This window comes from Homo sapiens, chromosome 7 (genome assembly GCF_000001405.40).
Source record: "Homo sapiens chromosome 7, GRCh38.p14 Primary Assembly".
In the NCBI taxonomy this organism is placed as follows: Eukaryota; Metazoa; Chordata; class Mammalia; order Primates; family Hominidae; genus Homo; species Homo sapiens.
This window is the reverse complement of record NC_000007.14, coordinates 102,240,149-102,267,878: the sequence shown is the minus strand read 5'-3', so window position 1 is coordinate 102,267,878 and position 27,730 is coordinate 102,240,149. Positions and strand designations below refer to the sequence as shown.

Below are 27,730 nucleotides of genomic sequence, written 5' to 3'. Positions count from 1 at the left end.
ACGGGCAACATGGCAAAACGTCATCTCTACAGAAAAATACAAAACTTAGCCGGGCATGGTGGTGTGCACCTGTGGTCCCAGCTACTCAGGAGGCTAAGGCGGGAGGATCGCTTGAGTCCAGGAGTTCCAGGCTGCAGAGAGCTACGATTGCACCACTGCACTCCAGGCTGGGTGACAGAGCAAGACCCTGTCCCTCTCTGCACCACGCCCAAAAAAAGTCTAGGCATGATTTCTGACTGCAGAAGGATTAAATGCAGAGACTTATCATAGCGAGGCCAGCGGTGTTGTACCTACGGTTTTCCTGAAGGCGCGAGGGGCCCCTGTCTTTTTATTTTTTATTTCTTTTGAGACGGAGTTTCACTCGTCACCCAGGCTAGAGTGCAATGGTATGATCTCGGCTCTCTGCAACCTCTCTCTCCCAGGTTCAAGTGATTCTCCTGCCTCAGCCTCTCAAGCAGCTGGGATTACAGGCATGCACCACCATGCCTGGCTAATTTTTGTATTTTTAGTGGAGACAGAGTTTCGTCACGTTGGCCAGGCTGGTCTCGAACTCCTGACCTGAGGTGATCCACCCACCTCAGCCTCCCAAAGTGCTGGGATTACAGGCATGAGCCACATGCCCGGCTGCCCCTGTCTTATTAAATCACTTGCAGGCCAGGTAGGAATGGTGGAGACGCTCGGTGCACATGGTATCTCTGCTAGGAGGACACTGAGGGGGCCAAGCTGCTGCCTCATCCACCCCTCCCTGCCTCTGCACCTGTAGATCCTGCAGGTAGCCTCAGGTGACCACTGAGCCCCCCCAGCCGGCTCCCCATGCCTGCAGGTGCTGGCCCCCACCCCTATGCAATGGGGTCTCCAGCAATGCCACCCTCTCCTGCAGCACCGGCTCTTGCCTTCTACATGCATGCAAGCATGTTCTCCTAGCAGGCATGTACACATGCACACACGCCCCTTCCCTTGACCCCACTCTGGCAAAACTCCTTGAAGAAGCTGTCTCTTCTCAAGCGTCTAATTCCGCTCCTCCAATTCCTCAAGCCCTTCCCATCAGACTCTGCCACCCCTCACGCTGACTGTCCTTGCCAAGGTCCCTAATGACCTCCGCACATTGCCACGTCCTTGTTTTTCGGCTCTCATCTGAGCTGCTGTGTTAGCAGCTAGTTTCCAGGTCACCGACCCTCCTGGGCCTCCTTCCCCGGCTGGCTGCTCTGCCCTGTTTCCTTGACTGGTCCTTGCCCTCCCTGCTAAGCTTCTTGCCGCTGCTGCACAGGGACCATCCGCAGATGCCTCACTCTGCCCCCTCATCCGCTCTGGCCATGCGGGATGCCATTGACAAGCCGATGCCTCCCCAGTGTGGGACTCCAGTCCACGCCTCTCCTTGGATTTATCTTCTACTTGATCTTCTACTGGCATTTCAACCTTCACAGGTCTGAATTTCAGCCTGATCCCTTCCTCCCCAAGTCTGTACTCCCCAAGCCCAAGTGTGGACCCCTGTAGTCCAGCCTCGGGAGGTGACATCTGCAGGGATAGGCAGAGACCCCCTTCCCGGCCTGACCCAGCTCTCTGCGACCCTTCGGTGGCTCAGACCAAACCCCGGGAGGTAGCCTCACTCCTCTCCATCACTCCTGATGCTGAATCTGTCTTAAGTCTCTCTCTCTCTCTTTTTTTTTTTTTTTTTGAAACGGAGTCTCACTCTGTCACCCAGGCTAGAGTGCAGTGGCATGATCTCAACTCACTGCAACCTCCACCTCTTGGGTTCAAGAGATTCTCCTGCCTCAGCCTCCCGAGCAGCTGGGACTACAAGCATGAACCACCACGCCTGGCTAATTTTTGTATTTTTAGTAGAGACAGGGTTTCACCATGTTGGTCAGGCTGGTCTTAAACTCCTGGCTTGAAGTGACCCACCCACCTCGGCCTCCCAAAGTGCTGGGATTACAGGCGTGAGCCACTGCCCCTGCCTTAAGTCTCATTTTTGGCTCTACTTTCAAAATATCTCCAGAATCCAGTCTCTTTTTACCACTGCTGCCACCTAGTCCGAGTCATGACCACCTCTCATTGTGATGATGGCATCAGCCTCCTCATTGGCCTCCCTCTGCAACCTATGATCTGGGCACCAAGCAGCAGCCAGAGAGAGCCTTTTAAAAAGTTGGTCGGGTGCAACTGTCTCATGCCTGTAATCCCAGGACTTTGGGAGGCTGAGGCAGGAAGATTGCTTGAGTCCAGGAGTTTGAGACCAGCCTGGGCAACATAGCCAGACTGTCGCTACAAAAAATTAAAATATTAGCCGTGTGTGGTGGTGCACGCCTGTCCCTGCTACTTGGGAGGCTGAGGCAGGAGGATTGCTTGAGCCCAGGAGGTCAAGGCTGCAGTGAGCGATGATTATGCCACTGCCGTCTAGCCTGGGCAACAGAGTGAGACCCTGTCTCTTAAAAAAAATAGTGACCTTGTAGGGTGCAGTGGTTGCAAACAGCAGCCTCCTCAGTAAAGTACACAGTCTGTTTCTTTCTTTCTCTTTTTTTTTTTTTGAGACAGATTTTTGCTCTTGTTGCCCAGGCTGGAGTATAGTGGTGTAATCTCGGCTCACTGCAACCTCTGCCTCCGGGGTTCAAGCAATTCTCCTGCCTCAGCCTCCCAAGTAGCTGGGATTACAGGCGCCCGCTACCATGCCCGGCTAATTTTTGTATTTTTAGTAGAGACAGGGTTTCTTCATGTTGGCCAGGCTGGTCTTGAACTCCTGACCTCAGGTGATCCACCCACCTTGGCCTCCCAAAGTGCTGGGATTATAGGCGTGAGCCACCACCCCCGGCCACACAGTCTGTTTCTTACATGGGTTGCCCTAAGGAACGTTGGAGACAATTCTTTCCACTGGACATTTGTGTCTCTGACCTCGTGCTGTCTGTGGTCTAGGCACCAGGCAAGTATTCGGGGTGCCCTTGGAAAGCCCCAGGGTGTGACAGCCAGGGTTTATGTTGGCCAGGTCATTGTGTCTATCCGTACTAAGAGCAGAACCATGAGGGTGTGATTGAGGCCATATGCAGGGCCAAGTCTAAGTTCCCTGGCTGCCAGAAGATCCACAGCACAAAGCAGCGGGCCTTGACCAAGTTCAATGTGGAAGAAATCGATCCCACGTGGTGGCTGAGAAGCAGCTCATCTGGCATGGCTGTGGGGGTTAAACGCAGCCCCAGTTGTGGCCTCCTGGGTGAGCTTCTGAGGGCTTCCCCTGTGCTGACCCCTCCTTACTCACTCCTACCAATGAATCCTACTTCCTGTTTCCCCACCAGAGCCAGGACCCTCTGTTCAAACCGTCCAATGCCTCCCAGTTGACTCAGAGTAAAAAACAAAGCCTCAGCAATAGCCGACAAGGCCCCCATGCTCCGCCTCTCCTTGGTCTCTCTGACCTCATCGCCTCCCACTCTTCCTCCTGGTCACGGTGCTGCGGCCATGCTGGTTTCCAGAGACATTTGCACCACGAGACCTTTGAACTGGCAGTTCTCACTGCCTAGAACGTCCTTCCTTCTCACATCTGCAGGGCTCGTTCCCTCAGCTCTGCCAGTACTGTTTAGAAGTTAACTTCTGGGCTGGGCGCGATGGCTCATGCCTGTAATCCCAGCACTTTGGGAGGCCGAGGCGGGTGGATCACCTGAGGTCAGGAGTTCGAGACCAGCCTGGCCAAGACGGTGAAACCCCGTCTCTACTAAAAATACAAAAATTAGCCGGGCGCGGTGGTGGGCGCCTGTAATCCCAGCTACTTGGGAGGCTGAGGCAGGAGAATCACTTGAACCTGGGAGGCGGAGGTTGCAGTGAGCTGACATCACGCCACTGCACTCTAGCCTGGGTGACAGAGCAAGACTCCGTCTCAAAAAAAAAAAAAAAAAAAGAAGTTAACTTCTGTCTGGGAATAGTGGCTCATGCCTGTAATCCCAGCACTTTGGGAGGCCGAGGCAGGCAGATCGCTTGAGGCCAGGAGTTCGAGACCAGCCCGGCCAATATGGTGAACCCCGTCTCTACTAAAAATACAAAAATTAGCCGGGCATGGTGATGCACGCCTGTAATTCCAGCTACTCGGAAGGCTGGGGCAGGAGAATCGCTTGAACCCCGGAGGTGGAGGTTGCAGTGAGCTGAGATCGCACCACTGCACTCCAGCCTGGGTGACAGAGTGAGACCCTGTCTCAAAAAAAAAGAGAAAAAGATAATAAATTAAACAGAGAAGTGAACTTCTTAGGGAGGCCTACCCTGACCACCCGATTTAAAACTTTAACCCCTTTCGGCTGGGCGCAGTGGCTCACATCTGTAATCCCAGCACTATGGGAGGCTGAAGCGGGCAGATCACCTGAGGTCAGGAGTTCGAGACCAGAATGGACAACATGATGAAACTCCTGTCTCTACTAAAAATAACAAAAATTAGCTGGGCATGGCAGTGTGCACCTGTAGTCCCAGCTACTTGGGAGGCTGAGGCAGGAGAACTGCTTGAACCTGGGAGGAGGAGGTTGCAGTGAGCTGAAATTGTGTCACTGCACTCTAGCCTGGGCAACAGTGAGACTCCATCTCAAAAAAAAAAAAAAAAAAAGGCTAGGTGTGGTGGCTCGTACCTGTAATCCCAGTACTTTGGGATGCCAAGGCGGGTGGATCACTTGAGATCAGCAGTTTGAGACCAGCCTGGCCAATGTGGTGAAACCCCTGTCTCTACTAAAAATACAAAAATTAGCTGGACGTGGTGGCATGCACCTGTAATCCCAGCTACTTGGGAGGCTGAGGCAGGAGAATCGCCTGAACCTGGGAGGTGGAGGTTGCAGTGAGCCGAGATCACGCCACTGCACTCCAGCCTGAGCAACAGAGTAAGACTTCATCTCCAAAAAAAAAAAAAAAAAAAGTTTAACCCTTTTCACTTGCTCTTCCCATCCTCCTTATAACATTGATCACCTTCGAAGCAACTATCTCATTCACTTATTTATTACGTCTACTGTCTGTCCCTCCCACAAGAAGGTGAGCTCCTGGTTTGCCCTGTAATAACCCCAGCGTGTAAGGCAGCGGCCCACGGTCAGCCTTCGGTATGTATTAGCTCACGGGCGAGTGGATACTACCCCGCGGCAAGCATCTGTTTCCTCAGTTGGAAAGTTGCACCGGGATTCCCACAGCTGCAGGGTCTCCCAGGCTGGGGCACAGCTGGCCCTCTTTGCAATCCGTCTGATGTAAGCATCTACCACGGCTCAGTCCCACCCCATCACAGCCAAACCCAGAGGCCATGTGTGTTAGAGGAGACTAAAGACCCCAGGAGATGGGGCCTGGCCACGGGCAGCAAGACCCTGGCAGGGCCAGCCAGTCCTCTGCTGCTTCCACTGCCAGTAACTGCATAGGCCTCACTTGGATCCTTCCAGGCTCTGCCCTGCCACTGGGTGCTGGGTGAGTGGTTTCCAGGTCTTCTCACTGGGTCCTCTCAGTAACCCTGTGAGTTATCCATCCATCCATCCATCCATCCATCCATCCATGATGGAGTCTTGCTTTGTCGCCCAGGCTGGAGTGCAGTGGAGGTATCACGGCTCACTACAACCTCTGCCTCCTGGGTTCAAGCGATTCTCCTGCCTCAGCCTCCTGAGTGGCTACAGGTGCCTGCCACCACGCCTGGCTAATTTTTTTGTCTTTTTAGTAGAGACAGGGTTTCACCATGTTAGCCAGGATGGTCTCAATCTCTTGAACTCGTGATCCACCCGCCTCGGCTCCCAAAGTGCTGGGATTACAGGCATGAGCCACCTACCTCTTATTTTTTCAACTGGAGACAGGGTCTCACTCTGTCACCCAGGCCGGAGTGCAGTGGTGCAATTATAGCTCACTGCAGCCTTGAGCTCCTGGGCTGAAGCGATCCTTCAGCCTCCCAAGTAGCTGGGACTACAGGCATGTGCCAGCACATCCGGCGAATTTTAAACATTTTCGTAGAGATGGGGTCTTGCTATGTGTCCCAGGGTGGGTCTTGAACTCCCGGCCTCAAGTGATCCTCCTGCCTTGGCTTCCCAAAGCCTTGGGATTACAGGTGTGAGCCATCGTGCCCGACCGAGTTTGGCTTTTTATATCCCCTTTACAGAGACAGAAACAGAAGCACTAGGAAGTTAAACTCATTTATTCTTTCAAAGATTTCCTGAGCATCGACTTAAGACTTGCTCACGGTCATCAGCCACTAAGAGACGCTGCTGGGATCCTGATACAGCCAGTGTCTCCTGACCACAGAGACACTGACGCCTCCCTGAACAATGGGAGGGTTGTCCTCAAATCCCGCTCCCTGGAGGCCACACCACTGCCCCAAATGGGAAGCTCTGCTATTACTTATCCATACTTGATTCTGCTTAAAAAAAAAAAAGGGCTCTTCGTATTGGTATTATTTATTTTTTATTTTTTTGAGCCAGAGTCTCACTCTGTTGCCCAGGCTGGAGTGCAGTGGCGCAATCTTGGCTCACTGCAACCTCCGCCTCCTGGGTTCAAGTGATTCTCCTGCCTCAGCCTCCTGAGTAGCTGGGATTACAGACATGTGCCATCATGCCTGGCTAATTTTTGTATTTTTAGTAGAGATGGGGTTTCATCATGTTGGCCAGGCTGGTCTCAAACTCCTGACCTCAGGTGATCTGTCCACCTCAGCCTCCCAAAGTGCTGGGATTATAGGCGTGACCCACCATGCTCGACCAGGGCCCTTCCTGTTGGTATTCTAAGAGTCTGAACTTCTTGGAAAAGACAGGAACTTCAGCAATGCCTGCCTAAGGCTGGGCCCAGGCTGTGTCTCCCCTGTCTGTGGAGGCCGGTCACTCCACACTGCATGAGTCGGTTGCTAAGCAACGGCCCACTGGCCGGGAGCCTGGGCAACATCACGGTAGCTCTGTGGAGCCCTCCCAGTTCCCTGGTTGGGTCCGTACATGCAGGCCCAGGCCTCTGCCACCTCACAGGAATCAGTGATGAGCTGAAGTAGACACCAGCAAGCTGTGTGCCCCCAAAGCTGGCATGTTAAGACCGTGGAGAGGAGCAGCATGCCCCCAGGCAGCCACTCAGAGGGGCTTTGTAACAGAAGCACACAGGACCATTGCAGACAATTCAAGTGCTCTAATATATCTCATCATCACGTCGCGCCACCCTGTCTACCTGCAATTGTGTTTCTTCAGAGCATCAAATAAGGAACGCGGCTGGGTATGGTGGCTCACGCCTGTAATCCCAGCACTTTGGGAGGCTGAGGCAGGCAGATCACTTGAAGTCAGGAGTTCGAGATCAGCCTGGCCAACATGGTGAAACCCCATCTCTACTAAAAATACAAAAAAAAAAAAAAAAAAAAAAAAAGCCAGGTGTGGTGGCGGGCACCTATAATCCCAGCTACTTGGGAGGCGGAGGCAGGAGAATCGCCTGAACCCAGGCGGTGGAGGTTGCAGCGAGCCGAGATTGTACCATTGCACTCCAGCCTGGGTGACAGAGCCAGACTCCATCTTAAAAACAAAACGAAACGAAACAAATAACAAATAAGGGGCCGGGCGCGGTGGCTCACGCCTGTAATCCCAGCACTTTGGGAGAACCAGGTGGGTGGATCTTCTGAGCTCAGGAGTTCGAGACCAGCCTGGGCAACATGGTGAAACCCCTTCTCTGCAAAAAATTAGCCAGGCGTGGTGGTGCACACCTGTGGTCCCAGCTACTTGGGAGGCTGAGATGGGAGGGTTGCTTAAGCCTGGGAGGAGGAGGTGGTGACAGACTGAGATCCTGTCTCAACTTTCTGAGGAAAAAGACTTTGAGCTAAGTGTTCCTTTTTTTTTTTTTCCCCCCAAGATTTAGGGTCTTGCTGTGTTGCCCAGGCTGGAGTGCAGTGGTGCCATCATAGCTCACTGCAGCGTTGAACTCCTGGGCAGAAGTGATCCTCCCACCTCAGCCTCCAGAGTAGCTAGGACTACAGGCACATGCCACCATGCCCAACTAATTTTTTATTTTTTGTAGAGATGGGGTCTCACTATGTTGCCCAGGCTGGTCTCAAACTCCTGGGCTCAAGCCATCCTCCTGCCTTGACCTCCTCCCAAAGTGCTGGGCCTATAGGAGTTACAGGAATGAGCCACTGTGCCCAACTGTTCTTTCTTCCTTCCTTTCCTTCCTTCCTTTCTCTTTTCTTTCTTTTTTTTTTTTTTTTAACATTTCTTATTTTAATTTAGTTAGCAGATCATGAAATACATAGGGGCATACCTAAACTAGCAAACAGAAAAATTAACCACGTTAGACTTCAGTCTGTCAAATACCAAACTGGCAGAGTTCTTAGGGTTATTTTTTTGTTTGTTTGTTTTATTGAGACTGAGTTTCGCTCTATCGCCCAGGCCGGAGTGCAGTGGCACAATCTCGGCTCACCGTAACCTCTGCCTCCCAGGTTCAAGCAATTCTCCTGCCTCAGCCTCCCAAGTAGCTGGGATTACAGGCACCCGCCACCATGCCTGGTTAATTTTTGTATTTTTAGTAGAGACGGGGTTTCACCATGTTGGCCAGGCTGGTCTTGAACTCCTGACCTCAAGTGATCCACCGGCCTCGGCCTCCCAAAGTGCTGGGATTACAGGCGTGAGCCACTGCGCTGGGCCAGCTCTTAGGGTTTTATGCAGGCCTCTCCTATCTGAGGGGACCAGCATTTTGGGCAACTCTAGAGACACCCCCGGCCCTAAGTGACTGCATCAGACACGGGGCTGCCGAGGGCACCTGGCACTGGGGGGTGTCTCCATCCCATACTCTGGGTTCTCCCACTGGAGGGAGGATTGAATCCAGTTGAATTGGGAGAGGGGCTTACGATTCTGTATCACATGTGGACATTTCACAATCTGAAATCTCCAAATTAATATGCGACCAAGTCATCCCCCACTTCCACCAGACACACGTCGGCCTGGCAGACAGCTCTTTTCCAACCCAAGACGAGCAACAGCCTCTGAGTCACAACTGCGCGGAGAAGCCTAACAGCCACCTCTGCAGAGCTCTCCCCCCACCTCCAGCCCGAGCGCCATCTGGAAAGAGACTCTTCTCAGTAGCCCCGTCATTCCAGAGACCCGCAAGCCACTGTCCCACTCGCAAGCATTAACTGGTGCCTTTCACTTGTCTTTCTGTTACATCAGGAGTCAGGGGCACAGTGAGACCCCCACACAGAAGGCTGAGGCCACGCCACTGACCAGCTGCAGGCCACACGGCAGAGGAGACTGGCCGTAGTCCTGGTCGCCCAAGTGCCATCGATTGGGGCTGCCACCACCAGCCCAGTGCCGCACCAGCACTGGCCACCATTCCTGGTTCCCCACAGCAAGCCTATATGACAGGAGATGGTGTCTCCATTTTACAGAAAAGGAAGCGGACGCCAGGGAGGGTAAGGGCTTGGTTCAAGGGTAGGCAAACAGTGCTGGTGACAACAGCAAGTAGGAACGCAGGCCCTGGCGAAGCCCTTCCTGTGAACCAGATGCAGATTGACAGAGCAGTGCCCGAGATCCCCATGTATCCTAGAACCACACGGTTTTCTGTGTGCCCGGAAGCCACACGCCCGAGGACCTGCGGACAGGTGCAAAGGGGACGACCTCGGGAACGGCGATTCTTGAGGTGCCCTTTGGACCTCGAATGACAGTGTTTGCTGCTCGTCCTCAGGCCAGAGCACTTTAAATAAAAACAACCCACACATTCTTGTGTTTGTATAAAAGATATTTACTTCAATTATCACACCTAGGGTGCTAGTGAATAATAATACATGGTGTGAGTCTCATACAGTGATATTGCTTCTCCGTATTATATAGGGACCGTTGTACAGTGCTGAGAACAAACATCGTATGGCTAACCAAAGACAGAGGGACAACACCAAGGGGCCGACGGGTGCCTCCCCCACCCCCACGCCAGCCAGGTCAACTTTGACTCTTAATGTAGAAAAACAAATAGCAAGAAATAAAATGTTACCAGAGAGATGTCACACAGCAACACACCAGAGGCATCTCAAAGCGATTTGTACAAAAAAAAAAAAAAAAGACGACTTTTTTTTTTTCCTTTTTTCTTTTTTGGTCAATTGGGTCTCTGTGAGGATTGGAGAAAAAAATCTGTGATTGTGAGGATGAACAAACAAGCTCTAGAAAGATCTAAGACTTGGTGCGTTACAGAAAATATAAAATACTGCTAAAATGTAAGACGTGACAAAACGCTAGAGTGGGGGTGGGGTGGGGGGAGCTGAGCTTATAGAGAGTTTTCCGGAAGATTCCGCCACCCTGTGAGTGCGTCTTGTGCTGTTAGTAGTCTGGACAGGAGCGTGGTGCTACCCGCTCTCAAGGCAAGCAGCAAAGAGTTATTGCACAAACGCAAAGAACTAGGTCTCTTATTCAATGCAAAGGGATGTGGGGAAAACCACCTTCTTTTTACCCCCACTTTTATTTTATAACAAGCTATTCTCCAATGTTTTAAGAATTTTGGGTGAATTCTCACATCTCCAGAATACACGGGATTTTTTTTTTCCAAGAGGTCTCAGATGGGGGTACGTGAGATGCCCGTTTTCTCAAGGGAAGAGGCAGAAGATGGTTTGAGAGAGAGAAATGCATAGACTAATTAGAGAAAAATGAAAAAAAAAAAGGCTTCTGGGGAGATGGGGACCATTGTTTCGGTGGAGGGTTTCTTTCAAAGAGAGAACAAAATCAGGGCCCCCGGCAATCTTGGAGAAGGGGAGGTGATGATATGGAAAGAGATGCTCTTCCCAGCCTACCTTGGGGTGAGCAGGGCCCTTGCCTTGGCCTGGGGTAAGTTTCCTTCTGCTGGGCCCATGGGATCAAGGCAGGGCGCCTCACCTTCACACCTGATTGGCAACAACTGGGTGTCCTGCTGGCTGAGCTTGGGGCCACAGCAAGCAATCTCCACACCCAACCTTCCTCCACGTTGAACCACCTATAGGGGAAAGGGGCCCTCTGCCTATGATCTCCTAGGTGAGCCCTCAAGCCACAGCCTGGTACTACAAAACACTGTTGCTTTGAAAGATGGTTTTGACCAACTTTGTACGCAAGAAAAACAACAACAAAAAACCAACCAAAACGTATCAACCCATGCGGGCCTTGCAAGAAATCACTCTCTCGCTTGGAGGTAAAGTCTTGGCCAGGCCACCGCGCCCTCTCTGACCACGGCTCGCCGAAACTTCATGAACCCAGAAGTCTTACCAGAGGCTCTAGGAGGCTTTGGGGAACTGAACTTGGCTTTGCTAAGATTCCTCTGAAGCTCCTCAAGCGAGCATTCTTCAACTCAGCAACTCCCTCACACGTTGGTAAATTTTTTTGTTCATAAACACTCTCATTTAAAAAGTTAGACACATAGAGACCACCAGTTTTTGAGTGGCTACTCTGGAGACAGGTGTTTGATTTTGCTGGGGAAACCCCCTCTGCCCCCCAGTCAATCCCCCAGACGCCTTGGTTCTCTGGGGGAGTAGGGGAGGAGAGGAAGGCAGAGGATAGTAACCACTAGAGTGACAGCAAAAAGCATTTATGACAACAAAACACAAAATAACAATACACTCCTGATAAGTACTTAAATGATTAACCTAATAATAAATAGAAGAGGATAGAAATAATTTTTTTTTTCTCAAGGAAACATCCTTTTATAATCACCCTCACGCACGCCGGCAGGTCAGTAGCAGTCAGTCCATTTCAACAAGACAAGATTAAGTGCTGGAAGGGATGGCTGTGGCCTCAGACACTGGGGAAGGGTCTCAGCTTCTGAATCACGGATACTCCCTATCCTGCCTCGTCAGGCCAGCGGCTCCGGCCAGAGCCCGCGGGCCCTGCACGCCCAGCACAGTGGTCACCAAGAGGCAGGCTGGGAGACTGGAGGGAGTCGGGGAGGCCTGTTTTCCCTTCGGTTCATGAACAAACGGAACTACAGTGAACAAACTCATTCATAACCTGAATCGTCCTGGTCTAAAGCTTACTTTGAGTTCATTTGGTGTGCAATACGTTATTTTTTTAAAATGAAGAAAAATGATTTCAATTGCACAGAGCTTTTACACATAGTCATCTATTTAAGTGCTTTCCGTTTAAAGCAAAGTACAAAAAAAATAATAAAATAATAAAAAAGAAGAAGGAAAAGGGGGGAAAAAAGAATTATAAAACAAAAGCAGCTCCGTGCCACTTCAATGTGTCTTGCTGAATGGTCTCTTGTTTCACCAGCAGAAGTCCCAATGCTTCCGTACACACTGTGCTTCTGATTAATTTCCATAGGGATGTAGCCGTGACATTGGGATATAAGGCACCTTTTCTTTCTGATTACAGAAAGCTTGATACATAGCATATAGCATATTTTGTGGTAGAAATTAAAGCGTAAACACTACAGAAATTACAGTAACGTAGACTAATGCTTTCTTAACATTATCGGGTAAACTAAAAGGATTCATGAAAAGCAACTCAAAGGCATCTTAAGAGTTTAAGAACGGGGGCATGGGGGAAGTGCACATTTATGCATAGCCAAATGTCTTTCTCTCGCCAGCCTTTTTTTTTTGTCTTTTTTTTTTTTTGGGATTTTTCGCCTACAATGCCCAACTTTTAAAGTTAGCATTTTGGAGGAGACTAGGCGCTTTGGAAATGTCTTGTTAAAGCTAAATGTCACTTCATCCAAAAATGAAAACTCGAGATGATGCCACGGATGGCATGGACACGGTTATCTTTGGAGGGAAGGTGGTGGTGGGAGAGGCCTGGGCAGGAGGAGGCAGTTTTTGGAAGTCGGGCAGACAGGCGGAAATTGCATTTCCTTCTATTCCCCTGACCAGGGTGGTGAGGAGCACAGGCCGCCGGGGCCTCTGGGATTGGGAAGACTGGGCTGGGGGGCCGGGAGTAGGGCTGGGGCTTGTTTTACGCTCTGCCCCCCACACCCCCTCCTCTTCCGTCCTGATTAAGCCCAAGGGTTGGTGGACTTAACTTTCAGCCCATCTCTAAGGGTTTCACAGACTGGATCTTTCTAAACTTTATTGGGTACCTGCTTCCCCTTTTCCCTGGTAGTTTTCATCTACAAAAAGTCAAAACCTGATCGAAATAGAAATAAGATCATCAAATTGGACCATTCTCTTAGCGTTCGAGTGTGCCGGCCAGACTGGCATTCAGTACACGCTGAGATCCAACCACATCACACTGGCCTCAGGTCACCACCTCGCCACTCAGGGCACAAGCCCTGCCCTTGTGGTCACAAAGGCTTCCCTAATGTCGTCGATGCCCAGGTGAAACCACAGAAGCACTGAGGGCTTTCTAAATGTGAGCTTTGGCTGGTCAATGCCCAAGCACAGGATGCTGTCCCCATCCTTAGGTTCTTACTTGCAAACTGTCTCCAGCAGGGGAACACTTTGGCCCCCACAGTGGACAGACCCACCTCCAACCACCAGCCCCAGGAGCTGATTTTCTTCGGTGCTGGATGGGAACTGGCATATTCTTTTGGGATAAGAGGGTGATGCCACTGTGGACGGGGCGTGTAGGCTGGAGGAAGCCATCTATCCTTTTCCGTCTTTGAGATGTTTGATGTTTGCAAAGGAGTGTTCGCAGTGACGCTAAAACCATGCCAGAGACAAGAGACACCCAAGAGCTACAGTGTTCCCCAAAGCCAGCTGGGAACTTTGGGGCAGTCCGGGACAAGGATAATGGCCATGATGGATCTTAACAGCTGAGCAGGACTGGACAGAAAGGAAGGCGGACCAAAGACAAGACCCTCGGAGCCCCGAGACCACGCCCTGCCTGCAAAAGAAACAGCTGCTGGAGCTTTGGGAACAGGTGGAAGGGAAACATCCGTGTGCCTTGCAGAGCACAGCTGTTTGTCCGTGTTGCGCTCACAAAAGGAGAGACACACAAAGCCGGCCCACCAGGCAGAGGGATGTTCGTGTCTGCTGCGCTGGCAGCTTTTCTGCTCTCTCCAGCCCACGTGCCTCACAGTTCTGTGGGGTGTGGTTCTGGGTGACATCAGATGGAGAAGACAGGTTAGTGAGGTAGAAGGGACAATGAGGAGTGTGAAGAAGAGGGAGGACATCTGGGGAGGGACAGGGCCCCCCACCGGCAGCACAGGAGCCAAACCTCCAGCCTAAAGTACCACAGCAAATAGCCCAGCACGCCCACCGCTCATGCCCCGTGTTGCTACATCTCGCCCTGTACAGCTGGCTTGTCGGCCTTGGGATGAGTAAGGTCTATGGGCTTTTGTTTTTACTGGTCTGCCAAGAAGCGCCTGTCATACTGCATTTAAGGCAAAGGCTGTCGCCCCTCAGTTCAAAATCTCTCTGCTTTTGTGTGACTCCCAGAAGGACATGCGTCTGTTCCCCTGGCTCTGCTATTTTTCAGTAAGATTTGCTTTGCTAAAATCAGAGGAATGAAAAACATTGCATAGAATGTCAACAGAGTTCATTGATCACCCTTGCATCAAAGGACATGCATGCAGGAGGAACAAAGTCATCCAGTCCAACCTTAGTCGGGAAGGCACCTGCCCGTCAGAGAGCTCACCTGGGGACTCCTGTTCCCCTCTCTTTTTAGGGCCTGGCTGTGGCATAATCTTAAAGTAGTCAGCCGAGGCCCACAGCGATCTCTTTGCAGCCTGTGTAAACTGGTCATGAGCTGCACGCCTGATGCTGGCCCTGGCCAAGGAGGGAGATGGGGTATGAGAGCTGGCCACCTGGGCTTGGGCGGTGGCCAGAAAGGAATATTTAACCCAGAGCTCTGCTGCACTCTGGGCCCGGACCGCCAACCAGCAGACCTGAACGTCCACATCAGACAGGATGGTTTTTCAATGGGAAGAAAACAAAGATGGCGACAGGAAGGAAACTGAGCAGGGAGGTATTTGTACTTTGGAGGTACAAGGGATCTACCCCAGGGAGGCTGTCGACTGGTATCTTTTGCCTCAATTACTTGCACAAAGTAGCAGGTTTTGATGGTGGGTCCCTGTGAGCCACGATCCTGGCATTTCTCAGAGAGTTCTCCCATGCATGCATCCCTGGGCTGTCACCCCAATCCTGTCCCAGGAGACGCTTAGAAGCTGCCTCATGCCAAGATGCCTCCTAAGATCGTCTAGAAGAATCCAATTGAGCTAAGCTCCATGGCTCTGATAACCCTTTCTAAAGAGAGGTCTGGTGAGCAGAAACCACAGATGTCTTCACTGATACAGAAGTTCAAGAGGAGGTTACCAGGGAGCTCGGGGGTTGGGGAGGAGGACAGAAGACTCCTCTGGGGTGGAAGTGAGTTGGGCACAGGTCTAGGACAGAACTCACACACCTGCCATCTCGGCTATCACAAGGGAGCTTGGGCCGGAACTCCGGGTCAAGAGGCTAAATGCAAACACTGATTTTACCCCGAGCCTCTGCTTAGCCAGCTAAGTTAATGGCAAAAGCCTTAAGTTATGAACAATGCCTCCAATTAACAAAAAGAAGCCATTTAAAATGGCATAATGGAGCTTGTAATTAAGTGTTAGTGTTTTATATGGAACCGTTTCCCCCAGGGGAGAGGTACAAATCAGCTTTTTAAACTCATAGAGCGTGAAGAGGAAGGGGGTCGGCTGCCTGCGGGGGCCACTGCTTGGAATGCCAGCCTGCTGAAGGGGAGCCATGCCGAGGGGACACTGTTCAAGGCACTTGAATACTGCTTAGCAAGATGAGAGATTAACCCTTAGACTCCAACTGAGGGGCCCAACCAGGAGGGGGTGCTCCCCTGGCCACGGATTGCTGTATTATTTTAGTGGCAGCTCTTAGAAGTATTACAGACAGTGCTAGCTTCACATCAAAGATCTAAGGTTAGGATCTCTATTTTTTTTAAAAAAATAAATAATAGAGGAAAAAAAATACACAGAACTGCAAGCAAAATTTAACCAACTGATTGTATCTGGCACCAGATGTAAGTCTGGCAAAAAAGACAGAATGGGAACCAACAGTAACCTAGTTAAAAATCTAAGAAGTAAAAACAGAAAAGAGAAAACAACACATATGACTAAATTGCTTGGGAGGGTCAAAATGACTGCATTTTAGACTGTTACTGTTTGGCCACTAGAATGGACAAATCTGTATTTGTCAATTTCCTCAGATTTAACACCTTTGTAAATAACAGTCATGCCTTTAAAACTAAACCCTAGCCTACTATTTCCTGTTAACTTCTTTTCATTCTTATGAAAATTAGACGATATTTAAAGATTCATCACACATGATGACAAAAGTCCCTTGAGGGTTTTGTGGAGAGGACACCACAGTCGTCAGGGCTCTGCCACTCACTGTCCTAAGGGTCACCGATGTGAACTCACTCTTCTCAATGCACCTGAATCGAGCTAGATGTTGACCCGTGTCCCCTTAAGCTCCTCTAATTTTGAATTCTCTTCTCCCTGAACTGGATTTCAAGTTCAGAAATGATACCCCCAACAAAAGACAAACGAACAGCCTGCCTCCCAGCCCCCTAGAGCCTTCTGAAAACTTCTTATTCATGAAAAGGCATTGTCTTTAGTGTAGTGACTCTTGAAATTTGTGAAAACGTGAACTAAGTGCTGCAGCTGCAGGTTAAAAGACTGTAAATGAAATAATCTCTAAAACATCATGCAAGAAACGTGGTTTCACATCTTACAGTCAAAGTCCTACAAGTTAATTAACAAGCACACGGAGGTGGAACAGCCAGAGCATACCTTTAAAATTATAACTCCCTCCCACCCCCCAAATAAAAAAAAAAGTAATATTAATTAAACTTAAGAAATAATGAATGCACCATTAAAATGTCATCCAAAGATGTTGACCTAAGACAAAGGTTTCAATGATACACAATACGGTCAAAAAGTTTTCAATCAGTAATATACAGTATGACAACTACATCTTGTAAATTATACCCAATACTGCCGGCAGTCTATCCCTCTAAAGAATATTTGCCCCTTTCATCCCTTCCTAACAATCAGATAATAAAATACAGCACCTATAAATAAGCAAAAAAAAATATATATATATACCGAAATCATCTATTGTTAGTTTAAAGATATGGCAATAAAGAAGTCTAAATTAGCAAACTTGTAGAAGCCGTAACTGATAAAACAGCTTATTGAAAAAGGTGGCAGTAATGCACTCTACGTGTGCACAGGTACTTAAGAAAATACACAGACGTATAAAATTGCACACACGCACACGCACGCACACTCTCACCCGCCTCTATTCTCACGCATATACACATAGACAAGGGAGGAATCAGAGACAAGTTAGACTTTCAGTTTGTACTTAGACTGCCCTAAAACTGTGCATAAAAAGAACTAAGAGGCGAAATGAAAGAAGGGCAAATGGTAGGTTTGGAAGTTGAAGAGCATCCACGTTTTGGTGTGAGTTTGGGCCATTTCTACAGGGATGGGAGTGGGGAGCCCAGAATGCCACGTTCTCTCTCCTGCAGAGAAAGGAAGTTTCCCACGAGTTCAACAGGGTCATCAGTGCTTGCGGTGGGAAGAAAAAGGGAAAGAAGAGAGAGAGTGCGCGTGTAAGCCCTGCCCAGGCCTGGGGAGTGTCTTCCCCTGGGAGGGCTCAGTTCATCAGGTATCCAGGAGAGTGGTGTGAGGTGAGGTGCCTTCTGTGCCAGAGAGAGATCCGTAGACTGCTATCTACTTGGGGATGGGCCCGTCTGGCCCTGGAACTGCCTGCTGTGCTCGCCCGGACTACTCTCTCCTTTCTTTCAATGCTTGCACACGTGCAGACGCACAGACAGATTGAGACACCATAAATTAAACAAAATTAACAGGTACATGCTACAGTTCTAACTTGTCTCCTAAACCTCCAAGATATGAGGTCTGATCAGCGTGCTCTGCGGTTAGAGGTTAAAAAGCAGATTATAAAATACCTAGATTCGGATCTTTTCTTTTTTTTTTTTCTTTTTTTTTCTTTTTTTTGTCCTGATTTGGCCTAGAATGGAGTGTATTAAACAAACCCTGGTCTGCAAAACCCAGGGTCAGTTAAAGCTATACATCAATGTGCACTACATGTCAGGATTCTATTCACGTACAAGAAAACACTATGTCAGCTACCACAAAATCAGAGTTTCCTGATGTGACGTTTTCTTTTTGTTAAAAAATATGTGGAGTAAATGTGTTTTATTTTAATTCAAAGTTTCAAACGAGAAGATTCTTTTCTTGAAAATATTTAGGAATCCAAACTAGTGTGTTTAGAGTCGTTTTGACTGTGCAATCTCTTAGTGGCAACTGAACAGCTACAAAAACTTTCTTTTTTAATTTTTCTGAAAAATCCCACCCCCCCTTTTATTTTTTCCTGGTTTAAGAAGATAATAGTGTATTATCGCTCTGAAGCCATTAGATGGCAGATAAAAAGCCCCCTTTTAATATGTGGGTTTGATTTTTTTTCTTTTAAAGCCCACACGGAACAGGAGGACACAAGGCAAAGCTGTAAGAGTTATTCCAGAACCTGTGGAAATCACTTAGGGCAATAAAAAAAACACTTCAGGGTACAAAAAAGCTCGACCACACATTTCCGTTTTCTTCCTTGAAAACACGACATAGATTGGGCTTAATGCTCCTTTGTTTTCTATATGCACCTTGGCCTATGGCGATTTTGCCCTGTGGCCCGCAGGGCGGTAAGTGCGCAAAGCGGTCCAGGGGTCCAGGCCGCGGGCTGGGTCTGGGCCGCGGGGTTGGTGGAGGCCGCAGGGTCGGCCCGGGCCGCAGAGTGGGTCTGGGCCGCGGCCTTGGATCTGGGCCTCGGGTCGGTGCAGGCCGCGGACCGTGGAGGGGGTCTGGGCTGCGGGCTCAGGTCCGGCCCGGGGTCGGTGCAGGCCGCGGGCCAAGCCCAGGCCACGGTGTCCGCAGCGCCTGCCCCGTCCGACCCCGTCCAGGCCCTTGCGGCCCAGCCTGGCTGCCCGCCCCAGGGCCGCGGCCCCTCAGAACTCCCATTCGATAGGTTCCTCCCGGCTGGCGGCCTTCTCCAGGCGGTGGATGATGCTGTTCAAGTTCGCGGCCTTCTTCTTGCGCAGGGGGTTGTCGCGCGAGTCCCGGGCGCCCGCGGCCTCGGGGAGGCCGAAAAGGCTCTGCAGCGAGCTGGGCCTGCGGGGGGCGCTGCTGCTGCTGCTGTTGCTGGGCGGCGGCGCGGAGCTCGGGGCCGCGGGGCCCTCCCCCGGCGCGGCGGCGGCTGAGGTAGCGGCGTCCTCGGGGGCCGCGGGCGCGGCGGTGGCGGTCGCGGAGGCGGGGCTGGGCAGGGGCCCCGGGCCTTCCACGGGGCCTCCCTCGTGGTCGTCGTCGCGGGCGTCGTCCGGGCCCGGGGTCCCCGAGGGCGGCGGCTCCGTCTGCTCCGCCGGCCGCGGCACCTCCTCCCGCTCGGCCTCTCCCTGAGACTTGGGCTCCTCGGTGTCGGCGCTGCCTGGGCCCTCAGTGGCCTCCACGCCGTCGCAGCTGTCGCCCTCCGAGCTGGGCGCCGCCCGGCCGCTGCGGGCCGAGGGTGAGTCGCTGGCGCCCGCCTGGCCCTGACTCCCGGCCTGAATTTCCTCAATGAACAGTTCTCTGCGGATCCGAGACCTACAAGACAACAAGCGGCGGGGACGTGAGGGGGGTGCTGCTGGGGAAAGGGCCTCTGGTGCTACCCCAGCCAGACCCCTCTCTCTGGGGCTCCTGCTCCGTCCAGCCTGGAGGCCCCTCCGTGCCCCTCCAGCGACCCTCGGGCCACGGGGCAGCCCCTCTCCAGAGTCACCACCCACCCCTCCGGGCCTGGCCAGGAGCCATCCCAGGGCTGGGACACCACTCCCCTATTCTCCACTGCAACAAATTGCCGCGGGCACTTATTTTAATTTTTATTTTTTGAGACAGAATTTCCCTGTTGCTGCCCAGGTGGAGTGCAGTGGCTCAATCTCCGCAGACTGCAACCTCTGCCTCCTGGGTTCAAGCGATTCTCCTGCCTCAGCCTCCAGAGTACCTGGGATTACAGTCACCCACTACCACATCCAGCTAATTTTTGCATTTTTAGAAGAGATGGGGTTTCACCATGTTGGCCAGGCTGGTCTCAAACTCCGGACCTCACATGAGCTATCTGCCTTGGCCTCCAAAAGTGCTGGGATTACAGGTGTGAGCCACTGCGTCCGGCCACTTATTTTATTTTTCAAAAACCTTTTGGAAACAAGGCCTTGTTCTGTCACCCAGACTGGAGTGCAGTGGTGCCATCACAGCTCACTGCAGCCTCCAACTACTGGGCTTGAGTGATCCTCCCATCTGAGCCTCCTGAGTAGCTAGGACCACAACTGTGTCACTATGCTTGCTAATTTTTAAATTTTTTAAAGAGATGGAGTCTTGCCATGTTGCCCAGGCTAGTCTTGAGCTCCTGGGCTCAAGCAATCTTCCTGCCTGGGCCTCCCCAAGTGCTGGGATTACAGGCATGAGCCACCACTTCTGGCCAGGGTTCTTATCGAGTGACACGTTTCCTCCATCCCATCCCATCCCGCTCCAACTAGACTGAGAAAGGCAAGGTCCTATTTATTCTTTGTACACCCAGGCCTTGCACTGGCGCCTGGTGTGCAGTAACGAAGGCTGGGTGAGTTCATCAGTGAAACTGCCTGATAACCGCTGCATCCATCAGGACTTCAGGAGAGAGGACCAATTATTGGATAGTGGCCAAAGTGACAATTTTAATCTCTGAGCCACAGAAGGTCAGGTTGGGGGCTTGTGGTCCAGGGTAGGGTGGAATTCCACCAAATTCTGTATTTTTTCTTTCTTTTTTTTTTTTTCCTTTCCTTATTTTACTTAGAGGCAGTGTCTTGCTCTGTCACTCAGGCTGAAATGCAGTGGTGTGATCATAGCTCCCTGCAACCTCCACCTCCCAGGCTCAGGTGATCCTCCTGCCTCAGCCTCCTGAGTAGCTAGGACCACAGGTGTATACCACCATGCCTAAATTTTTAAAATATTGTAGAGACAGGATCTCATGATGTTGCTTAGGCTGGAGTGCAGGGGCAAGATCATAGTTTACTGCAAACTTGACCTCCTGGGCTGAAGTGATTCTGCTGCCTTGGCCTCCCAAAGTGTTGATACTACAGGTATAAGCCACCAAGCCCGGCCAATAAGGCTTTCTGAGGCTGGGCATGGTAGCTCACGCCTGCAATCCCAGCACTTTGGGAGGCTGAGGCGGGCAGATGGCTTGAGGCCCGGCGTTCGAGACCAGCCCGGCCAACATGGTGGAACCTTGTCTCTACTAAAAATACAAAAATTAGCCAGGCGTGGTGGCAGGTACCTGTAATCCCAGCAACTCAGGAGGCTGAGGCAGGAGAATCTCTTGAACCTGGGAGGTGGAGGTTACAGTGAGCCAAGACTGCCACTGCACTCCAGCCTGGGCGACAGAGCAAGATCCTGTCTCAAGGGAAAAAAAAAACAAAGGTTTTCTGGGCTCCTACTCTGCGCCGGGTCCTGTGCTGACTGTGGGGACTCCCCTGGGGAAGATCCTACTGTAGCTTAGCCCAGGGTATTGAACTCTGGTGGGGTGCAGGGGGTTGTGAATCTGCTATGGAGTTATTTGATTCCTGCGTGCAGTGAGCTCTGAACCTTGTCCTGAAAGATTTGTGAGCTCTGGTTCAGAAAGGAAAGGTTCTGAGAAGCCCCCCAGAAGTTCCAAGGTGTGTAAGTCTTTCCCCCTTCCCTGGGGCTACCTTGGGAGCCCAGGAAATGGTGGCTTCTGTGAACAGGTTCCTGGGCGCTATGGCTTTCAAGTTCCTTGGCAGTGAGACTGCTAGTTGGGGTGAAACTCTCCACCCCACCTATTCTGGTTGGGGAGGCGGGAGGCTATATGGGTAGTGAAGGTTTGGTCCCAGCCCGACCCAAAACCAGAGTACAGGCTTTTTGGAAGCAGGCACACTTGGGTTGGATATCTGGCTAAGGTGCTTACTAGCTGTGCAACTTGGAGAAGTTATTTAACCTCATAGCCATAGCATTCTGTGAGAAATAAGAAAATTTCATTTTTCATTTTTTTTTTTTTTTGAGAAGGGAGTCTCACTCTGACGCCCAGGCTGGAGTGCAGTGGTGCGATCTCAGCTCACTGCAACCTCTGCCTCTTGGGTTCAAATGATTCTCCTGCCTCAGCCTCCCAAATAGCTGGGACTACAGGTACGTGCCACGACAACTGGCTAATTTTTTGTATTTTAATAGAGACGGGGTTTCACCATGTTGGCCAGGCTGGTCTTGAACTCCTGACCTCAGGTGATCCACCTGCCTTGGCCTCCCAAAGTGCTGGGATTACAGGGGTGAGCCACCACGCCTGGCTACAACTTCAGTTTTCTTATTTCTTGTCTGAAAAATGTGGAGAATGGTATCTTCCTTGCAGAGAAGTTATTAAGATTAAATAAGGTATTAAATGTATGATGTAGGACCCAAAGTAGCCATTCAAAAAGGGGTCACCCTTCCCCCTATCCAGCCGCTGTTTGTGTGCTGTGATAAGCCCTAAGGCTGGGGTGGGGAGCGGACACCGTTAGGCATGGGGCTTGTGTTTCCATGCTCATGAGCTTGGCCCCTGTGTGCAGACTTTGCCTGTAAAATGGGGCCAGCAGCACTGCACTTGGGTGCTGATGGAGGGACTAATAAGATGATATATCTATAAAACTGTCTGCTCAGGCCGGGTGCAGGGACTCATGCCTATAATCCCAGGGCTTTGGGAGGCCTGGGTGGGAGATCACTTGAGCTCAGGAGTTAGAGACCAGCCTGGGCAAAATAGCAAAACCCCATCTCTACAGAAAAATACAAAAAATTAGCCAGGTGTGGTGGCATGCACCTGAAGCCCCAGCTACTCCTGAGGCTCAGATGGAAGGATTGGCTGAGCCTGGGAGTTCAAGGCTGCGGTGAGCTGAGATTTTGCCACTGCACTCCAGCCTCGGCGACAGAGCGAGACCCTTTCTCAAAAAACCAAAACCAAAACCAAAATCAGAAAACAAACAAACAAACAAAAACCTTTTTGGCTCAGTGCCTGGCACATGCTTTGTGCTCCACAGATGTGAGACATCATCCTTTTTAGCCTAGATTTGTCTCCATATTTCTAAGGAATACTGTCTTCTGGCCTAGAAAGATGAGCTTCCAGGAGCAGTTGTGGTTTTTAGGGAAGTCACACAAGGCTCGCAGAATGCCGTGGCTGCGAGGGTTCAGAATCTGAGTTCCTAACTGGGTGGACCTGTTTTTCCAGGGGAGAGCAGTGTCCTGTGGCATGTTGTTCTGGCAATCTCGTCATCAATCCTGGGTAAATGGTCAGCCTGAGATATGTTTTTTTTTGCTGGGGGACAGGGTCTTGCTCTGTTCCCCAGGCTGGAGTGCAATGGCATGATCACAGCTCACTGCAGCCTCAACCTCCTCAAGTGATTCTCCCACCTCAGCCTCCTGAGTAGCTGGGATCACAGGCATGCACCACCACGCCCGCCTGTTTTTCTATTTTTTGTAGACGTGGTCTCACTATGTTGCCCAGTCTGGTCTCAAACTCCTGGGCTCAAGCAATCCTCCCACCTTGGCCTCCCCAAATGCTGGGATTACAGGCCGTGCCCGGCCCAGCCTGAGATATTTTTAATTGCCTTTAGCCAGAGATATTTCTAATTCCCTTAAAGTGAAAGGATAAGAGGAAATAAAGCTCGGTTTTTTTTTTGAGGGGGCAAAAATTGACACCAAGTGTTACTCCCTGAGGGTTCCAGTGGGACAGGAGAAAAGAAAATCTACTTTTCCTGTTTAACCCCTGAGAAAAGAACGTAAAAAACTACGTTCTTGGTTAGGGATTTAACACATCCAGTGTCGGGAAGCTCTGTCGGGTATAACGGCAGGTTGGTCTGTACAAAGCATTTAGTGAAAGAACCAAAGTGTTGGAGAAGAAACTCAGTCTGCATCTCTGCTCTGCCCTCTGCCCTTGGCCTGCTGGGTGAGTGGTCTTTTTTTATTTTTATTTTTATTTTTTTGAGACGGAGTTTTGCTCTGTTGCCCAGGCTGGAGTGCAATGGCGTGATCTCGGCTCACTGCAACCTCCGCCTCCGGAGTTCAAGAGATTCTCCTGCCTCAGCCTCTAGAGTAGCTGGGATTACAGGCATGTGCCACCACACCGGGCTAATTTTGTATTTTTAGTAGAGGCAGGGTTTCACCATGTTGGCCAGGCTGGTCTCGAACTCCTGACCTCAGATGATCTGCCCGCCTTGGCCTTCCAAAGTGCTGGGATTATAGGCGTGAACCACCAAGCCCGCCCCTGCTGGGTGATCTTAGACAAGCGACTTCATGCTAATTTTGAATGCTCACTTCTCCTTCATTTATTTTATTATTATTATTATTATTATTATTATTATTATTATTATTATTATTTTCTGTAGAGACAGGGTCTCACTGAGGCTGGTCTCAAACTCCTGGCCTCAAACCATCCTCCTGCTTCAGCCTCCCAATGTGGTGGAGTTCCAGGCATGAGCCACTGTGCTCGGCCCCTCGTTTCTCCTTCCACCTGTTTCGTTGCTTATAAAATTCTTCTCTACTCCAATCCTCCTTTCAAGAGCCTGCTCATTTCATACCTCTTCCATGATATTTTTCCAGATCTCTGCAGCTCAAACTCATCTCTTGGATCCCATATTTGACTCAGCCCAGCCTGCTTTGTTGTGGAGTTATTTTTGAAAGGAAGCATTTGTTGAGTGTCTACTCTGGATTCAGACCTGGGATTCATTTATTTTTTTGAGACAGAGTCTCGCTGTGTCACCCAGACTGGAGTGCAGTGGTATGATCATGGCTCACTGCAACCTCCACCTCACAGGTTCAGGCGATTCTCTTGCCTCAGCCTCCTGAGCAGCTGGGATTACAGGCGCACCCCACCACACCTGGCTAATTTTTGTATTTTTAGTAGAGACGGGGTTTCATCATGTTGGCCAGGCTGGTCTCGAACTCCTGGCCTCAAGTGATCCACCCGCCTTGGCCTCCCAAAGTGCTAGGATTACGGGCATAAGCTACCACACCCAGCCCAGACCTGTGATTACTAAATTTTACTTACTAAGTTTTGAGGTCCTACTGGTATTCTTCTTCTCTCCCCTTCTCTATCTTTGCCACAGGTGTACCACTGAATTTGCTAGTGCTAAAATGCACAAAAGAGGCATCCCCACAATGACCGCAGACTACAGTGTGACGGGTATGACTGTCAGAAGACCAGCAAGACAAGCAGCAAACTGAGAAACCCGAGGGTGTGTACCCTGGCCAGGGGGCAGTGACTGCCATGCAGCTGAGGCCTGTTGGGGGACTTGGGAAACAAACGTGGCTCCAGCAGGGCCAGGGAACATACTTTTGGAACTGTTTTGTATAATTGGTAGCATCTATGCCCAGATGGTAACCTAGGGCTTTGCATGTGTCTATATTATAGAAAGCGTTATCACACATGCCCTAAAATGGATGTGAATTGCAGGAGACTTCAAAGTGCACGCATCTCTGTGGCTAGAAAGTAGAGATGGCATCTAGGCGTGGTGGCTCACGCCTGTAATCCCAGAACTTTGGGAGGCCGAGGTGGGTGGATCACTTGAGGTCAAGAGTTTGAGACCAGTCTGGCCAACATGGTGAAACCCAGTCTCTACTAGAAATACAAAAAATTAGCCGGGCATGGTGGTGGGTGCCTATAATTTCAGCTACTCAGGAGGCTGAGGCAGGAGAAGCTTGAACCTAGGAGGCAGAGGTTGCAGTGAGCCGAGATCGTGCTGCTGTACTCCAGCCTGGGTGACAGAGCAAGGCTCTGTCTCAGAAAAAAAAAAAAAAAAAAAAAAGAAAGAAAGAAAGTGGAAATGGGATAGCATGGCACCTGGCAAAGAGAAGCTTCAGGAAACCCCTGTCCACGTTTCCGTTCATTTCCTTCATTCTGCTTCATTACTGTTGAAGTTTCCTTCCAAGTAGAGGGACCTCCACTGTTCTAACTGCTGGCCTCCCTCTGCCTCTGTTTTGATCTGATTGCTAAATTTGGAATGAAGAAACTGGCTGTGCAGCTCCTGGACTTTCTTTTTTTGAGACAGGGTCTGGCTCTATCACCCAGACTGGAGTGCAGTGGTGTGATCTCGGCTCACTGCAACCTCCGCCTTCTGGCCTCAAGTGATCCTCCCACCTCAGCCTCCTGAGTAGCTGGGGCTGTAGGTGCGTGTTACCACGCCTGGCTAATCCTGGATTTTGTCCTTGCGGGAGGTAGCTGGAACACGGGGAGGCCTGTGCGGGGCCAGGGCTGCCATTGTGGGGAAGTTTGCCTGAGTCTAGGGTCCACGTAGCAGGTGCGCTCAGTTCTCACAATGAGCAGCATCTTGTGACTTTGCCTCTATGGGCAATAAAGGTGTGATTTGGACTCTGACCTAATATTTTAGTTTCCCAATTTGTTCAGAGCCTGGGTGGTTTACTGGGCCCCTTTAGGAACTCCAGTGGACCTTATGGGGGAGGGAGGGCCCGGTGAGAGACACAACTTCCCCTCCAGCCTGACTGTGACTTTGTGCTGCCCATGACTGTGTCATGTGCACAGCTGGGAGGGCCCCACTGCCATCGGCTAGACCTACGTAGGGTGACCTTGGTTGAACCAGGAGCACCTACCCCAATGTTATCGTGCCCTAGGGACAATGGGAAGCAGCACCTGAGATGGTCAATGGCAAGGCACTAGCTTAGGGATCTCCATCAGGGCCCTGGAATTCTTGGTTTCTAGCAGCAGAGAGTATGGTTATAGCTATGATCAGCAACTCAGGATCCTTCAGTGGGTTTCCTCCATCTACTCCAAACACTTCATCCCAGTGCACTTTGTTCTACCAAGACAGCACTGGGGCCTGACCTCCTTAGCCCCTCTGAGTTCTATATTTTTCATCTGTAGAATGAAGAGAACTGGCTGGGTGCGGTGGCTCATGCCTGTAATCCCAGCACTTTGGGAGGCCGAGGCAGGCGGATCACTTGAGGTCAGGAGTTCGAGACCAGCCTGGCCAATATGATGAAACCCGTCTCTACTAAAAATACAAAAATTAGCCAGGCGTGGTGGTGCACACCTGTAGTCTCAGCCACTCAGGAGGCTGAGGCAGGAGAGTCGCTTGAACCTGGGAGAAGGAGGCTGCAGTGAGCCGAGATCGTGCCACTGCACTCCAACCTGGGCGACAGAGCAAGGCTCCGTCTCAAACAACAACAACAACAAAAAAGGAATGACAAGAATAAGGTATCTCATATACATTTGTGAGCTGTGAGGATTAAGTGATATAACTCGGTGAAATACTTAGCTCAGAATCTGAGATCTAGAAGATGCTCAATCTGTCTTCATTAACTCATGAACTTTCCCAAATGCAAAGGTCTTAAATGACTTCATTTATTTAATTACAGAACTAATCAAACTAATTTGGAAGATAACATGGCAGAAGACCCCGAGAAAGCACTGCAAAATCACTAAGAAATAAAAGTTCAGGCCAGGTGTGGTGGCTCATGTCTATAATCACAAGGCTTTGGGAGGTTGAGGTGGTAGGACTGCTTGAGGCCAGGAGTTTGAGACCAGCTTGGGCAACAGAGCGAGACCCCTGTCTCTATAAAAAATCAGCAGGCATGGTGGTGCATTGGCATCCTAGCTACTCAGGAGGCTGAGGTGGGAGGACTGCCTGAGCCCAGGAGTTCCAGCCTGCAGTAAGCTATGATTGCACCACTGCACTTTAGCCTGGGTGACAGAGCAAGCCCTTGTCTCTAAAAATAAATAAATATGAATATAACTATAAATATAGATATATATAAACTAAACCACAAAAGTTTCACTCCTTTTGAACCATGAATGCCTACACTCTCCCTTATTAAATGATGTAATCGAGAGGTGATTTTCTTTCTG

At 50.5% G+C, this 27,730-nt stretch overlaps 1 protein-coding gene and 1 long non-coding RNA gene across 26 annotated transcripts in view; one reads left to right on the top strand and one right to left on the bottom strand.

Moving 5' to 3' along the window:
- CUX1 (cut like homeobox 1) overlaps window positions 1-27,730 on the bottom strand; it is a 467,952-nt gene that overhangs the window by 16,080 nt on the left and 424,142 nt on the right. For 19 of the 25 annotated variants that reach the window (NM_001202543.2, XM_047419908.1, XM_047419912.1 and 16 more), the window contains one exon: window positions 9,646-19,467. The exons of the other annotated variants lie outside the window; for them this stretch is intronic. In NM_001202543.2, the coding sequence (NP_001189472.1) occupies window positions 18,837-19,467 (631 nt within the window). In that variant the 3' untranslated portion in view covers window positions 9,646-18,836. Of the gene's footprint in view, window positions 1-9,645; window positions 19,468-27,730 lie in introns of those variants that run through there. 25 annotated transcript variants of the gene reach the window in all.
- LOC124901711 (uncharacterized) lies at window positions 20,507-27,327 on the top strand. The gene is made up of 3 exons (XR_007060458.1): window positions 20,507-20,588; window positions 24,975-25,103; window positions 27,241-27,327. It is a non-coding gene; the product is annotated as an uncharacterized LOC124901711 (long non-coding RNA).